Genomic DNA, 17,336 nt, shown 5'->3' on the forward strand with positions numbered 1-17,336 from the left:
TGGCTCATGCCTGTAATCCCAGCATTTTAGGAGGCCAAGGCAGGTAGATCGCTTGAGTCCAAGAGTTTGAGACTGGCCTGGGTAGCATGGCAAAACCATATCTCTACCAAAAATACAAAAAAGTAGCTGGGTGTGGTGGTGCACACCTGCAGTACCAGCTACTTGGGAGGCTGAGGCCAGAGGAGCACTTGAGTAGGGGAGGTGGACGTTGCAGGGAGCTGAGATTGCACCACCGCACTCCAGCCTGGAGAGTGGAGTGAGACCCTATCTCAAAAACAACAACAATAAAAACAAAAACATGACAGCCCCATTTTGCCTTAAAAATGTGTGTCCTTATATTTGCTGCTTTAATGTCTCAAACCACTTGCTCATAACATTCCTTCATTTAAACTTCAGAACAGCCTTCCTCCTCCCACCCACCAAAGTGTCCTCATTCTCATTACTCATCTTTATATCTCTGGCATCCAGGACTGTGGAGCGTAGTTGTTTCCTGGATGTTTGGTTTAGACATTTAATCTTCAGAGAGATGACTTTACTAGCAAATATTAACTTTAGATATGAAGCTTTTATTTGATCATCTTTATAGCTGTTCTCGGTGGGCAAATACACTTAATGTACCTTGACATCGCAAAGTTATTTTTAAACTGCAATGACAACATGAAGTCAATGATATCACTTACCCTCTGACTAGGGAATGCAATAAAACACATTAAAGAGAAATATTGTCATTGTACAGTGCAATAAATTTGTATATCATGCTGTTAAGTGTTGCCGTTTATAGCAAAATATGAAGCCCTGTAAGGACAAAGCCTTGATTTGAATCCAGGGATGGTTGTAGCTGCTGCCGAGGTTTCTGATAGCATCAGAACATCTCAGCAAAAGGACTTGGCAGTGTGGAAGAGTTACTGGCCAGGGCAGAAAACAACTTTTTAAATTTAGACTTTGCTTTCACTTTTACATGTTAATAAAATAGTTTTGGAATCTTAGCCATTTGTTGAATGCTTTCCTTCAAATAATCTTGTCTGAGAGGACTTTAAAAAGTACATAAAATCTTTCTCACTTTTTTTTTTTTTTTGAGTCGGAGTCTGGCTTTGTTGGCCAGGCTGGAGTGCAGTGGTGGGATCTCTGCTCACCGCAAGCTCCGCCTCCCGGGTTCTGGCCATTCTCCTGCATCAGCCTCCCAAGTAGCTGGGACTACAGGCGCCTGCCACCACGCCTGGCTAATTTTTTGTATTTTTAGTAGAGACGGGGTTTCACCATGTTAGCCAGGATGGTCTAGATCTCCTGACCTCGTGATCCGCCCGCCTAGGCCTCCCAAAGCGCTGGGGTTACAGGCATGAGCCACAGCGCCCAGCCCTTTCTCGCTTTTTATCAATCTTCTTTCATCAATTTAGGTAGGACCATATCACTTAGGGCAGGACTATTAGAGTCAGTGCTGGGTACTCATTCAGTTGATTTAATAGAATATTTTGAAAGTTTTTATTAGGACAAAAGCAATATAGTTTCATTCTTGGAGAAATTAAAAAATATAAGCAAGCAAAAAGAAGAAAATAAACAAACAAACAAAAAATCCCCTCTCTCCATCCTATCTAGCCACTTGAATATCCTATTGTAAAGCTTTCAAAAATTCTGGCCAGGCGCAGTGGCTCATGCCTATAATCCCAGCATTTTGGGAGGTCAAGATGGATGGATTGCTGGACCTCAGGAGTTTGAGACTGGCCTGGGCAACATGGCAAAATCCCATCTCTACAAAAAAAAAAAAAAAAAAAAATAATAATAATAATAATAAAGAAAATTATCCAGGCATGGTGGCACATGCCTGTAGTCCCAGCTACTTGGGAGGCTGAGGTGAGAGGATCACTTGAGCACCACAGGTTGACACTGCTGTGAGCCATGATTATGCCACTGCACTCCAGCCTGGGAAACAGAGTGATACCTTGTCTCAAAAAAAAAAAATTATTTGTCTGCTTTCACACACACGCATACACACACACACACACATTCATATACAGTTCTTTTTTTTTTTTTTGAGACGGAGTTTCGCTCTTGTCACCCAGGCTGAAGTGCAGTGGTGCGATCTCAGCTCACTGCAACCTCTGCCTCCCGGGTTCAAGCGATTCTCCTGCCTCAGCCTCCCCAGTAGCTGAGATTACAGTCATGTGCCACCATGCTCGACTAATTTTTGTAGTTTTAGCAGAGACAGGGTTTCACCATGTTCGCCAGGCTGGTCTCGAACTCCTGACCTCTGGTGATTCACCCGCCTCACCTCCCAAAGTGTTGGGATTACAGGCGTAAGCCCCCACACCTGGCCACATTTCTTATGTTTAGTAGATATTTCAGTTCTGCAAAAATCCATAATAACAGCTTTAAGATATAATTTATATACCATAAATTCATAAAGTGCACCATTCAGTGGTTTTAGTATATTCACACAATTGGTGATGTGATAGTGGTGATGCATAGCGTGATGGTTATCATCACCACTATCTAATTCCAGAACATTTTTATCACTCCAAAAAGAAACCCCATAGCCAATAGCAGTCACTCCCCATACAATATGTGGTCTTTTTTGTCTGACTTCTTTCACCTACCATAACGTTTTCAAGGTTCTTCCATGTTGTAAGCATGGATCAGAACTTCATTTCTTTTTATGTGTGACAGATATTCCATTGTATGGATATACTACATTTTGTCTATCCATTCATCAGTTGGGGAACATTAGGTTGTATTCATTTTTTTATTATATGACTAACGCTGCTATAAACATTTATGTACAAGTTTTTGTGTGGATATATATTTTCAGTTCTCTTGAGTATGTTCTTAGGATTGGAATTGCCAGATCACATGGTCATGTTATGTTTAAGTTTTTGAGGAATTGCCAAAGTGTCTGCACCATTTTACATTCCCATCAGTAATCTGTGAGGGTTCCAACTTCTCCACATCCTCACAAATACTTGTTATTATCTATCTTTTTGATTATAACTATCCCAGTGTGTGTGAAGTAGTATCTCATTGTGGTTTTGGTTTGCATTTTCCTGATGGCTAATGATGTTGAGCGTCTTCCATGGTCATGCTTATCGACCATTTTTATATTTGCCCACTACTTTTTAAAAAATGGTTGAGTTGTAAGAGTTTATTCTGGATATGAATTTCTAATTAGATATATGGTTTGCAAATATTTTCTTCTATCTTGCGGATTGTCTTCTACTTTCTTTTTTTTTTTTTTTTTGAGATGGATTCTCAGTTTCCCAGGCTAGAGTGCAGTGGCACAATCTCAGCTCACTGCAACTTCTGCCTCCTGGGTTCAAGTGATTCTCCTGCCTCGGCCTCCCTAGTAGCTGGGATTTCAGGTGTGCACCACCATGCCCAGCTAATTTTTGTATTTTTAGTAGAAAATTTCATCATGTTGGCCAGGCTGGTCTTGAACTCCTAACCTCAGGCGATCAACCCATCTTGGCCTCCCAAAGTGCTGGGATTACAGGCATGAGCCACTGTGCCTGGCCATCTTTCGCTTTCTTGAGGGTGCCTTGGAAGCACAAAAGTTTTAAAATTTGGTAAGTTTCAATTTATCTTTGTGTGTGTGTGTGTGTGTGTTTTGAGACAGATTTTTGCTCTGTTGCCCAGGTTGGAGTGTAGTGCCATGATCTTGGCTCACTGCAACCTCCGCTTCCCGGGTTCAAGTGATTCTCCTGCCTTGGCCTCTGGAGTAGCTGGGATTACAGGCACATGCCACCATGCCTGGCTAAGTTTTGTATTTTTAGTAGATACAGGGTTTCACCATTTTCCCCAGGCTAGTCTTGAACTCCTGACCTCAGGTGATCCACCCACCTCGGCCTCCCAAAGTACTAGGATTACAGGCATGAGCCACCGTGCCCGGCCCAATTTATATTTTTCTTTTGTTGCTTGCGCTTTTGATATCATAGCTAAGACAGCATTGCTAATCCAAAGTCATGAAGATTTTCTCCTGTGTTTTTCCCTTAGAATTTTATAGTTTTAGCTTTATAGTTTAGCTCTCTAAATGTAAAATTTAGAGATCTTAAATCCATTTTGAGTTAATTTTTGCATATAGTATGAGGTGGGGATCCTACTAGATTATTTTGGGATGTCCAGTTTTCCCAGCAGCGTTTATTAAAAATATTATTCTTTTCCCATTGAATAGTCTTGGCACCCTGTTGAAAATCCAGTGACCATAAATGTAACGGTTTATTTCTGAGCTCTCAATTCTATTCCATTGATCTATGTTTATCGTTATGTCGGTACTACACTGTCTTGATTACTGTAGTTTTGTATTAAGTTTTAAAACTAGGAAGCGTGAGTCCACTGACTTCATTCTTTCTCAGAATCGTTTTGGATTTTCTAGGTCTCTTGCATTTCCACATGAATTTTAGGATCAGCTTGTCAATTTCTGAAAAAAAAAAAAGTCGGGATTTTGATCCCTATCAAAATCCATTGTGTTGAATTGTAGGTTGCTTTAGGAAATATTGCCATCTTCACAATATTGTCTCCTAATCCATGAACATGGGAGGCTTTTCCACTCATTTAGGTCTTTTAACATTTCTTTCAAAGAGGTTTTGCAATTTTTATTGTACAAATATTGCATTCCTCTAATTTCTTCGAGGGCCTATGTGGGTTCTGTTTTAGTAGGGTGTTCTGCATATAAGACCAAGCATCAGTCCGGGGTCGTGGGGGGAGGGGGTCTTCTCTGTTCTGAGGCCATCATGGCAGGTGGCGTACCTCACTCAATCTCTGTTAGCTTATTTGTAAAATTGAGCAGATTAGGCATCTAAAGGATTTCCTCTAAGGTTCCTTTCCAGGTTGGCAAATTACAACTTGCATTATTGGCTGTCTTTTAAATATGTACGTTCCACCACTCCCAGTTCCCTGGCTCAGCCTGTGGCTGCAGTGCCACAGGGATCCTAGGTGCACAGTGTTGAGGAGTTGACGACTCAACACTTGGCTGGGAAATCGAAATGTCTTTGATGTGAGTTCTGTAGGTAGTGGCAGTTTCCTCTGCTCTCAACCAAATTCGTTTACAAGCCTCCTTTACTCTTAGGTCACAGGTGGCTTTTCTGGCTTTGACCTGAGCGGTGAGTATCCAGAGAGGAGAACGATCTAATTAATTTCTGTCCTGGCGCCTGGAGGGTTCGAAGATCCCAGGCTCCCGTTCCCGCCGCCTGGGTGGGAGCCCGGGAACGCCTCTCCCATTCCCCGCCCGCGAAGTTTGCAGCGCGCCTCGCGCGGGAGAGACGCCGTCTGCTGGCGCGCGGCTGAGCGCTGTCAGTTCCTGATCCGGCTGGTGCCCGCTCCAGCCGCGGCAGGTTCCAGAGCTGAGAGGCCACCCCCACGCCGCGGGCTTCCAGCGCGTGGAGCAAGGGGAGCGGCCCCGGCGCCGCCCATATCCCCGGCTGCGCTAGTCCTGGCGCTGCAGGTCCGGGAGGCGCAGGCGGAGAGCGGCGGTGCCCCCGAGCCCCTCTGCGGACGGCTCAGGCGGGAGGACCCCGCGCGGCTGGATGGCGGCGGCCGCGCGGCCTCGGGGTCGGGCACTGGGGCCAGTACTGCCGCCGACGCCGCTGCTCCTGCTGGTACTGCGGGTGCTGCCAGCCTGCGGGGCGACCGCTCGGGATCCCGGGGCCGCGGCCGGGCTCAGCCTTCACCCGACTTACTTCAACCTGGCCGAGGCGGCGAGGATTTGGGCCACCGCCACCTGCGGGGAGAGGGGACCCGGCGAGGGGAGGCCCCAGCCCGAGCTCTACTGCAAGTTGGTCGGGGGCCCCACCGCCCCAGGCAGCGGCCACACCATCCAGGTGAGGGCCTCGGAGAGAGCCGGGGTGGGCGCGCCTTTTCCTTCCCGCGCCGGCCAGACACCCGGAGAAGGGATCGGGCCCTTTCCTCACGCGCGCTAGTGGCTCCGGGCGACTGGGAAGGGCAGCCCCCATCCCCGCGCGCGAGGGCCCACGACCCAGGAGCGATCTCGTGGAAGCACCGCACCGGCACCACCGGCCCGAGGCGAGGAGGGGGAGCACGCGAGGTGACATGAGGCTGTGGTCAGGTTCGGGCTGGTGGAGGGGAAAGTGTGAGGCTGCGCTCTAAGAGATGCAGGCGCCTCGGCCCTTCCCGCCTCCGTCACCCACGGAGCGTCCCGCCAGGCTTGAGTCCTCGAGGGTTCAGGGGCGCCTCCTGCCCCACCTCCCGGGCCTTATTCGGAGAAGTCGGTGGCAATTACCTTCTGTGGTGTATTTTAAGAGAGAATTTTTAGGTTATAACAGCGGTATCACTCTAATGTTACTGAAAAGATTCACTTCACTGCACTGCCTGAAGTGCCACCATCCAGTCATTGGGGGCGAATGAGACCTTAGGCGGACAGAGATAGAAAGGCTCTCAGAGATCCGAGCCTCACCGCGAACACCCGGGGCAAACGACATTGCGGTGCATGTTAAGCAGCATCTTGCAGTGCCTGGCCCTTACTCACAGGTCTCAGCCAGGCAAGAGTGCAGTGGTGCGATCACGGCTCACGGCAGCCTCGAACTCCTGGGCTCAAGGGATCCTCCCGCCTCAGCCTTGGGCGTAGCTGGGACTACAGGCGTGCCCCCCCGTGCCTGGCAATTTTTTTTTTTTTTTTTTGAGACAGAGTCTCGCACTGTCGCCGGGGCTGAAATGCAATGGTGCGATCTCGGCTCACTGCAACCTCAGGCCTGGCAATTATTTATTTATTTATTTATTTATTTATTTATTTATTTATTTATTTATTTTTCTGTAGAGACAGAGTCTGGCTATTTTGCCCAAGCTGGTCTCAAACTCTTAGCCTCAAGCTGTCCTTCTGTCTTGACCTCCCAAAGGGGCAGGAGAATTTGAATCCAGTCCTGACTTCAAATCCTGGACACTAAGCCCAAATTGCCTCCTTCTTCTGCAAAGTATTGTTGAGGAACAGGAAGTGGGAAGAGGGAGCGATTTTGGAGCTTGGGTTCTAAAAGAGCAAGGTTATCATTGGGTGTCTAGATTAGTGTTTTAGAAACTCTTTTGACCATGCACTTCCATAAATGACAAGTTGTTGAACATCTAGTGCCATATGTGCTTATTTACTTATAAACTACATGCATGTATTATATTGATATGTGTTGTGCATATTTTAAAACATGCAAAAACAGAAATCTAAAAGACAAAATAACAATGATGAAAATATTTTTACCATATTTATATATTATCTATATTATAAAACATGCAAGAAAAGAAACTAAAAATATAAAATAACAATGATGAAAATACTTTTAACAGTCCTCAAATAATTTTGCTTTCTCTATTTTATGATTGTGTGTTTATAAACACACAAATATGCAAATATAATTGTGTGTATAATTATTTTTGAGAAATTTAGTTTAGCTCTTATAACAATTCAGTTTTTAATTTAATTTTATTTTTGAGACAGGGTCTCACTCTATTACCCAGGCTGGAGTGCAGTGGTGCTATCTTGGCTCACTGCAACCTCCACCTCCCAGGCCCAGGTAATCCTCCCACTTCAGCCTGCCAAGTAGCTGGGACTATAGGCACATGCCACCATGCGTGGCTAATTTTTGTATCTTTTGTAGAGACAAGGTTTTGCCATGTTGGCCAGACTGGTCTTGAACCCCTGGGCTCAAGCGATCTGCCCACCTTGGCCTCCCAAAGTGCTGGGATTACAGGCATGAGCCACTGCACCCGGCCTGATTTTATGTTATACTTGATTTTAGTGGTTGTTATAGCTGAAAAGATACCTAAAAAAATATGTAGATTCAAATGGAAGAACTGCATTGACCAGTCACATAATTTACAGAGTTCAGTGCAAAGTGGAAATGTAGAACCCCTTGTTAAAAAATTATTTTAAATATCAAGATGGTGACAGCACAGCATTGAAGTAAGCGAGGGGCCCTTCGAAGTGAGAGGCCCCAAGTGACTGTACACGTCTTTTGCTGTCTAAGCTACTAAATCATGGTACTATAGCTCTAGCTCTGCCCCATCCTTCGGTTAGCCTAAAAATTTTTAGAAGTAGAAACTTGGCCGGTAATTGTTCACTTCCAAGTTGTATTCAGCATTCCTAGTAGAAAGGTATTACGTTTTAATGTTTTGTATTGTTTTGTTTTTGAGACGAAGTCTCTCTCGTCTCTCCCAGGTTGGAGTGCAGTGGCACGGTCTCAGCTCACTGCAACCTCCGCCTCCTGGGTTCAAGCTATTCTTCTGCCTCAGCCTCCCGAGTAGCTGGGATTACAGGCGCCTGCCACCACGCCCAGCTAATTTTTGTATTTTTAGTAGAGACGGGGTTTCACCATGTCGGCCAGGCTGGTCTCGAACTACTGACTTCAGATGATCCACCCACCTTGGCCTCCCAAAGTGCTAGGATTACAGGCATGAGCCACCGCAGCCGGCCCGTTTTGATGTTTTAAACAATAGATTCAAGACTCACTGCAAATCTTTTGTTGGAAAATATTAATGTTAGAAAATTTTGTTTCCATGAGAAAAGACTTATTTCTGTCATTCTGATGCTTGTTTTCTATATGCCTTATATATTTTTTGGCTACTCTCAATTCTTCTATTATTGTCTTCTGGTTTAACTGATTTTTACCATTTTGATTCTCTCCTCATTTCCTTTTCTATATATATTTAGTTTTTTTTTAGTACTTATTCTGAAGATTACGATTAGTATCCTAAATATATAACAATCCAGTTTGAATTGATACTAGCTTAACTTCAACAGCATCCCAAATTCTGCTTCTGTATAACTCTGTCCTTTACATTATTGTTGCAAATTACATCTTTATACATGATTGTTCATTATTATGAATTTATAATTATTGTTATTATATATGCATTTGTCTTCTAAATAATATACAAAAAAAGCAGTTAAAAACCAAAAATATGGAGAGGCATGGTGGCTCACGCCTGTAATCCCAGCACTTTGGGAGGCCGAGGTGGGCGGATCGCCTGAGGTTGGACGTTCAAGACCAGCTTGGCCAGCATGGTGAAACCCCGTTTCTACTAAAAATACAGAAATTAGCCGGGCGTGGTGGCAGGTGCCTGTAATCCCAGCTACTCGGGAGGCTGAGGCAGCAGAATTGCTTGAACCCAGGAGCTGAGATCGCGCCATTGCACTCCAGCCTGGGCAACAGAGGAAGACTCCATCTCAAAAACAAAACAACCCAAAAATACAATAATACTGGTTTTTATGTTTACATATGTAGTTACCTATACTGTTGTTCTTTCTTAGTATGGCTTTGAATTACTGTCTAGTGTCTTTTTATTTCATCTTGAATGACTCCTTTTAGCATTCCTTGTAGAGTAGATCTGCTAGCAGGATTCCCTCAGCTCTTGAGAGTGAGACTCTGTATCAAAAAAAAAAAAAAAAGAGAAACGTACAGTGCATTATATACTGAACACATTTGCCATGCTAAATAATCCACTGGCATACAGACTTCTATAGCCTTCTATATTATAGAAATAGTAACTTGTTTTAGTACTGTTTTAATAACTAGATATTATTTGTTTAAAGATACTTCTTATCAGCTCAAATAATATTTTGGGGGGAGATTTTAATTTTTAAGGTTAATTTAGTGGCAATAATACATTTTTCCAAATCATACATTTATTCCTGGTTGTAATTTAGGCATTTATGAAACCTTTGTTAACTCTCTGCATTCTGGAACCATTTGCCTAGTTAGGAAAAGATTTACTAAGTGGCACCTGAGTGGTCTAAGTCAATGGAGCTGCCTATGGTTGTGCTACATACATGGATTCCTGGCCAAGCGGGTGAGTAGGGTCACCTGGGCAGGGCTGCATCTGCTCAGAGGCAGGGAGTCTTTTTCTGCTTTGCAATAAAGAACTGTTTGAATGAGGTCATAGGACACTGATTAGATCCCTCATGTCAACAGGGTGGAAACTGCCCTGAGGAAAGCCAGCTCCTTGAGTCCCATGTGCCCTGCCAGTTTCTCAGTGTCAAAAACATATTGTATTCCCTCAGTGGTTTTCCCATCCTAGAAGCTCAGAAAATACATGTGGAGTTAATAAATGAATATTAACTGGAGAATAATACGGGTTTAAAGTGATTATGCACATCTTAATTGTGAGAGGTGGGAAATAGAAGTGAGTTCTCCATTACTTTCAAGTTGCACCATATACTGTGCATACTGTGTATAGGAGTGATACCAAATATAGGGGGCAGAATGGTGAGAAGGAGGAATGGCCTAGTAATGAGGGGCTTTGCTCCCCTGCTTAATGCAGGGTATTGATTTAACACACACAGACAACACTTACTGATGCTTGGCACAGGTCTAAAGCATATTACACATTGAGTTCTTGATTGTCACAACAATTTATGAATGTATGAAGGAGGTACAATTAGCATGCTTCTTTTACAAATGAGGAAACTGAAGCGCACAGAAGTTAAGTGATGTGTCCAAGATCACACACTTAGTATGTGGTAAATCCAGATTTAAACCCAGGTACTCTGGCTGCAGAATTCACGCTCTTACCCGCTATACTACTGTCACAGACATGCTAACTACTCCTTCCTCTGAGTTCCAGCTAAACTTTGCGTTGCCTTGCTAATGCCACTTATCACCTTGGAGCCATCCATTATCATGTCTGTCTCCTTATTAGGATCATGAGCTTCCTGAGGGTGGGGCCCTGTCTTCCTGTTCATGTCTGGACAGAGTATTGAGATGCCCCATAGAGTAGAATTCCTGTGCAAAGTATGCTGCACTGTTTCCTTGTGGAAGCTTGTCTTAGACACCCCATCAATGCTTTTTGAAGAAATATTCAAAAGGCAACACCACCATAGAATTTACTTATCAGAGCAACACCCTGATGGAATTGCTGTTTGATTTTAAAAGTACCTGAATTTCAACAATCTGTCTTCTGGAAGACAGGTGTGGCCCTGCTGTGTCTGATGCAGTGGCTGAACCCAATGCCCAGGACTGGACTCCCAGAAGCTGGAAGAGGCAAGGAAGGATCCTTCCTCTACATATTTCAGAGGGAGGGCAGTCTTGCTGACACCTTGATTTTGGTCTTGTAGCCTCCAGCATGGTGAGAGAGAAATTTCAGTTGTTCTAAGCCACCCATTTTGTGCTACTTTGTATGGCAGCCTTAGAAACTTAATGCAGTAACTTTAGCTTCAACTCAGTTAACCAGCAGTTGTATTGACCATTCAGTGTATGCGTGTTATCCCTGTTTGGGAGAGCAGCAGAGAGGGGACCCTGCATGAGGCTCTGTGTGTAGTTCTAGGGTCCTGGTTTGTGAGACTTTGCAACCTGATAACTCAAAATGTGGCCCCTAAAAAGAATGAGAAGAGCTCTAGGCTGAACAAATATTTAGAGATCACGCACATTATGAGTCATCCTTAAGGCCAGGAATGGTGGCTCATACTTATAATCCTAGCACTTTGGGAGGCTGAGGCGGGTGAATCACTTGAGGTCAGGAGTTTAAAACCAGCCTGGCCAAATAAAAAATAAATTAGCTGGGCATGGTGGCGTGTGCCTGTAATCCCATCTACTTGGGAGGCTGAAGCAGGAGAATTGCTTGAACCCAGAGGTGGAGGCTGCAGTGAGCCGAGATCACACCACTGCACTCCAGCCTGGGTGACACAGCAAGACTCCATCTCAAAAAAAAAAAAAAAAAAAAAAAAAAAAAAAAAAAAAAAAGAAATATGTGCACTTCTTTATGGCAGTAAGCTGTGTTGTGTGTGTCTTACCCCTGATCCTTGCTTAATGCATGTGGGGTGGCCCGAGTTTGGGGGTGGTGCATACCTGTGAGCCTTGGATCCACCTTTTGAACAGAGCCCAGTGGTTGGATAATTCCTCCACTACTAGTGAGGGCTCAGAGGGCTGCTTTAGGGGAGGGCAGGGATGGAATTGTGAAATGAAAGCTCCTATTCCCTATGTCGTGGGATTGGCTCTGCAGAGACTAAATATTGCCAAACATTTGTGTGCATGAAAGACATTGGTGGCAAAGATTCTATGCAAGATAGTTTGCACAGTAATTTGATGAGAATGCAAACATTTCAGACTTTTAAATTTTCTTACATGTTTCCAGGCTGCTTTCCTATTTTATTATGAGGACTTAGCATTTACTGTATCTTTAATGTATCATTGAATTCTAAATGTTTTTGATGAACTAGAAAAAGTAGCAGCATGTTCTGGGAGACTTCATTAGGAAAATCACTAAATAAGCTTGTTATAAACTTATTGAGTTCTCTTTCTTTTATTTTATTTCATTATCTTCTAGGTAAACTTATTAGACTTTTCTTTGAATAAAAATATAGCTGTTAAAGTAAAATTTTCTGATAGAAATGCTAAGAGCAGGTGAAATCCCCCTGTTTTTTTTGAGACGGAGTTTTGCTCTGTGGCCCAGGTTGGTGTGCAGTGGTGCGATCTCGGCTCACTGCAACCTCTGCCTCCCAAGTTCAAGCAATTCTCCTGCCTCAGCCTCTCAAGTAGCTGAGATTACAGGCATGTGTGAACACGCCCGGCTAATTTTTGTATTTTTAGTAGAGATGGGTTTCACCATGTTGCCTAGGCTGGTCTTGAACTCCTGACCTCAAGCAATCCACTTGCCTTGGCTTCCCAAAGTTCTGGGATTGCAGGCGTGAGCCACTGCACCCTGATAGATGAACTCTTTATTCTCTTTCTCTGAGCAGGTGCTGGCTTAGAAGAGATTCTTTCAACCTTTCCTATACTTGATGCTACCTGCAGCATCCTCATTTTCTTTGATCACTTGCCTTGGTTCTGGGGTGTGGTCTTTCTCTGGCTACTCCACATGTGACTGTCACTGCAGCTTAAGAAAATTGTAGCTGAAGCAAGCCACAGTAGAACTGCCTGACTAAATATGAGGAAGAGGAGGCCAAGGACCTTTAGAATCATTACAAAGATGTTTGTAAGCAGCGGTTCTCCATCTTCATGGGAGATTAAATAGGAAGGAGGGTGTAATGTTGCAGCACAAAGTACTGGGATTTGCTACAGAGAAGAACTTCCTGTGCTAAGCATGCTGCACCACTGAAATGATTTCTGAAGAGGAGGGTGAGGACTTCATCTTTAGGTCAAAATCCTCTGTGTGATCTTTTAGCCCCCAACATTTGCAATTACAAGGCTTTACTTGGGAGGCCTCATGGGGGAAAGCTGCCCTCCCCATGCCTGACTTGGTGCACAGTGAATGCATTGCAATTTTCTGGAGGGAGTTTTGGTCAACGACGCAGGCTGTACTGGCTCAGGAGCCTCTCATATACATATCTGCATTCCTGACCCAGGAGCCTCTATTCTGGGGGCTCCCTTATCAGGAGCCTTGGCTGAGGCTCTTCCCAGGTGCCTCCACTGAGACTTCCTTACTGGTACACCATACAGGTTGGGAATCCCTCATCCAAAAATCCAAAATCCCAAATGCTCCCAAATCCACAACTTTTTGAGTGCCAGCATGACGTTCAAAGAAGTGCTCATTGGAGCTTCCTGGATTTTGGATTTTTGGATTAGAAATGCTTAACTGGTAAGTATAATATAAATATTCCAATACCCGCCCCCCGCCCCAAAAAAAAATCCCGAATCTGAAACATTTTTGGCCTCAAGTATTTCGGATAAAGGATACTCAACCTGTGTCAGTTTGCTCGGACTGCCATAACAAAGTACCACAGCGAGGGTGGCTTAAATAGCACAGCTGGATTTTCTCACAGCTCTGGAGGCTTAGAAGTCTAAGGCATGGGTATGGCTGGTTTCTGCTGAGGCCTCTCTCCTTAGCTTGTAGACGGCCACCTTCTGCCTGTGTCTTCACATGGTCTCTTCTCTGTGCGTATGTGTCCCCAACTCCTCTTCTTATAGGGATTCCAGGCGTATTGGATTAGGGCCTGCCATAATGACTTCATTTTACCTTAATTATCTCTTTAAAGGCCCTATCTCAAAATACAGTCCTATTCTGAGGTCATGGGGGTTAGGACTTCAAACTATGAATTTGTGGGAGGGGGTGGGTGGGGTGGTGGGGGGAAATGGAACACTGGGGAACCAGCCTGTTTCTCTTCTTCTTCTTTTTTTTTTTTTTTTTTTTTTGAGACGGAGTCTTGCTCTGTCACCCAGGCTGGAGTGCAGTGGCGCGATCTCGGCTCACTGCGAGCTCCGCCTCCCGGGTTCACGCCATTCTCCTGCCTCAGCCTCCCGAGTAGCTGGGACTACAGGCGCCTGCCATCACGCCCAGCTAATTTTTCTATTTTTAGTAGAGACGGGGTTTCACCGTGTTAGACAGGATGGTCTCAATCTCCTGATTTTGTGATCCGCCTGCCTTGGCCTCCCAAAGTGCTGGGATTACAGGCGTGAGCCACCGCGCCCCACCTCTCTTCTTTTTTATCTCTTGCCTGCACTGTCACAGTAAGTTAATAAAGTCTGGGTTGGTGCTTCATTTGGACTCATTGTCTTAATTGACCGCTTTAACAGCTGGAAGCTCAACAGAGGCTGGAAGACTGACTTTTGAGGTGATTCTTAAAGTAGATTCCAATCAACTAATAAGAATGGTGCTGCCTGGAGACAAGCGTGCCCACGCACTTGTGGGTAATGTCCATTCACTTCTATATTTAGCAAATATTTATTGGCATCTACTATGTGCCAGGTATAGGGGATGGTGATATAAGGGGCTGGAAGTACAGTTACAAGGCAGAAAAGACCCCTGTCCTCACTGAGCTAACCTCCCATGGGGAGACTGTAGCCGTTGAGTAAATATAATAATTGTAGGTTGTTATTTTGCCTTAGAGAGAATAAACAGGATTCTGTGATAAAAATTAAAGAGGAGATGATGGCCAGGGTGCGGTGGCTCACGCCTGTAATCCTAACAGTTTGGGAGGCTGAGGCGGGCAGATAGAGAGAGAGAGAGAGAGAGAGAGAGAGAGAAAGAAAAGAAAAGAAGGAAAGGAGATGATGTTGGTGCAGAAACCTGAGTAACCTGAGGGTTGAGAGGAAGGCAGCCTCACAACGAGGTTGGGAGAGGGCGACCCTGGAGGCCTGAGGCCCCTGAGGCGGGAACATGCTTGGTGTGTTCCAGGAACTCAGAAAGCCACATGACTGTTGTTGTTACACGTTTTGAATGTTGTCCCTGAGTGAGACCTCTGTGGTCTTTCTAGAATTTATACATATTTCACTTTATTTTTGTATGTATTGATACCCTTTCTGGTCCTCAAAAATATTTAAGTGAGTGATAAAACTAAAAAGCTGAGATGAGGGAATTGGGAATGTGGGAAAAGAAAGCAGGAAAAAGTGTAATTGTTTCATAAAGGGGTTAAAATAATAACTGAAATAGAACTGAGAGGGAAAAACCTGGTTTGAGGAATGCGTCAGGTTGGGGTCAGACTATCTCCTTGAGGAAGGTGTCTGGTTCTCATAGATCAGTAGTTGATGGTTGATTGTGTAAACTACCAGGAAAGACCTCTTTCATAAATCTAGGCTAAGAGGAAGTACTTTGGGTTTGGGGTATTAATTGGGCAGGCCTAGATGTGGCCTGGCCCACATTGTAAACTTGCGTTTGCCTTGGAGCAGATGACTTACATATCATTAAAGCTGCCAAACACCCCACTGACAGTAATGTCAGAGGCGTTCGAACTAGAGAGACTCCATCTTGAGTGACAGCTAGGAAAATAAGGCTGGGACGTGCTGGGCTGCATTCCCAGAAAGCTAGGTATTCCTAGCCTGGAGATGCTTACAGTTAGGGGAATAGATTGATAATGTTTACTAAGCAGACCCAGACTTGGGAGTGTCCTAATATCCTGATATCTTGAGAACAAAGGCATTCCTAATTTTGCTTTAAAGATAATAATATTGATTCTCGCAAAATATAGTAATTACGAAAATTAATCCTTTATCACAAACCCTTGCAGCAGAGCACATCTCCCCATGATCTTTTTTTATCCTATATAAAATATTTTATTTATCCTTATCTAAAGATCCATGATCTTTTTTTGTCCTTACCTTACCTAGGTAAGACATGTTCCTCCTCTTACTTTCGGGAATGCCCTACTCTGTTTATGGAGTAGCTGTTCCTTCACCACATTACTTTCTTAATAAACTTGCTTTTGCTTCGCACTGAATTCTTTCTTGCACGAGATCCAAGAACCCTCTTGGAGCCTGGATTGGGCCCCCTTTCCTGTAACAGTAACATGCCAACACTACACATAGGGAACAGGAAAATAGCGAGAGAAGTAGAAGGAAGAGGATTGCATGGAAACCGTTGAAAAATTGGGCTTTAAGACTTCCAGAAAGAACTTCTTGAGTTCTTTCAAGAGGGAACCAGTTGGTACCAGGAGCCTAAAGTAGATGTACAGTGTCATAATTAAGAGTATGGGCTTTGGAATTAATAGAGCTGGCTTTAAATGTATTCCTTCCTAAAGACATGACCTTGAGTGAGTTATTTAACTTTTATGAGACTTGGTTTCATCATCTGTAAAATGGGGACACCATACAGTTATTATGAGGATTACATGAGGTAAATCATAATGCATCTGGAACACAGTTAGTGTTTAATAAATGGTAACTTTTTTCTTTTCTTTTCTTTTTTTTTGAGGCACAATCTCACTCTGTCGCCTGGGCTCGAGTGTGGTGGCATGATCTCAGCTCACTGCAGCCTCTACCTCCTGGGCTCAGGTGATCCTCCTACCTCAGCCTCCTGAGTAGCTGGAACTACAGGGGCGTGCCACCATGCCCAGCTAATTTTTGCAGTTTTTGTAGAGTTGGTGTTTCGCCATGTTGCCCAGGCTGGTCTCAAACTCCTGGGCTCAATCTATCCTCTCATCTCCGCCTCCAAAAGTGCTGGGATTACAGGCATGAGCCACCACGCCCTGTCATAAGTGGTAACTCTAATTAAATATTGTTGAGAAATCTATTTTGGTAAGAAAGTCAAAATAATAAGACACTGATAAAAGGGGTCAGATGTGATGAGGTGCGGAGATTAGGAGAATGAGGCATTGTTGCCTGGGAAACCTCTTTTTGAATGGAAATAAATCATAATGAAGAAATATATTGTGACCAAAAGAATAACTCTCACTTCCTTTTTCCTCTCTGATTTGGCCATGATAAGCAAGGAAGGTGAGTACCTGAGAAGTCTCTGAAACTGGTGAGACTCTGCCCAGAGATGGAAGAGCTGAGTTGGGCATGAGTGGAGCTTTCTGGCCAGAGCGGGCAAGTGGTCAGAAGTTAGGAGCTGAGAATAGGTTCTGGGGAGGCCCTGCTCATGGAACACATGGATTTCCATTAGGGTAGAAGAAGCGAGTCTAGATTTCATTAGACTGTGCTTTCTAATAGCTGAATTTAGTGACACAGGTATCAGTCTGCAATTACTGCCTTCCTTCCTGTGGT

General features: G+C 44.2%; 1 protein-coding gene across 13 annotated transcripts in view, besides 1 other annotated feature; it reads left to right on the plus strand.

Annotated features, from left to right (window-relative positions):
* Positions 4,639-5,188: an enhancer, noted in NCBI's record as "OCT4-NANOG hESC enhancer chr18:21268776-21269325 (GRCh37/hg19 assembly coordinates)". NCBI's record gives its function as "activates a minimal SCP1, AML or CMV promoter by ChIP-STARR-seq in naive H9 embryonic stem cells {active_cell/tissue: H9 hESC(naive)}" and the evidence as "EXISTENCE:reporter gene assay evidence [ECO:0000049][PMID:30033119]".
* LAMA3 (laminin subunit alpha 3) overlaps positions 5,280-17,336 on the plus strand; it is a 265,614-nt gene continuing 253,557 nt past the window's right edge. For all 13 annotated transcript variants that reach the window (NR_130106.2, XM_011525978.3, XM_011525982.3 and 10 more), the window contains exon 1: positions 5,280-5,804. Coding sequence is in view for 12 of the 13 variants with exons in the window: in XM_011525978.3 (XP_011524280.1) it covers positions 5,511-5,804 (294 nt within the window). In the remaining variant the exon portion in view is untranslated. The remainder of the gene's footprint in view (positions 5,805-17,336) is intronic.

Source organism: Homo sapiens, chromosome 18 (assembly GCF_000001405.40).
Source record: "Homo sapiens chromosome 18, GRCh38.p14 Primary Assembly".
NCBI classification, from domain to species: domain Eukaryota; kingdom Metazoa; phylum Chordata; class Mammalia; order Primates; family Hominidae; genus Homo; species Homo sapiens.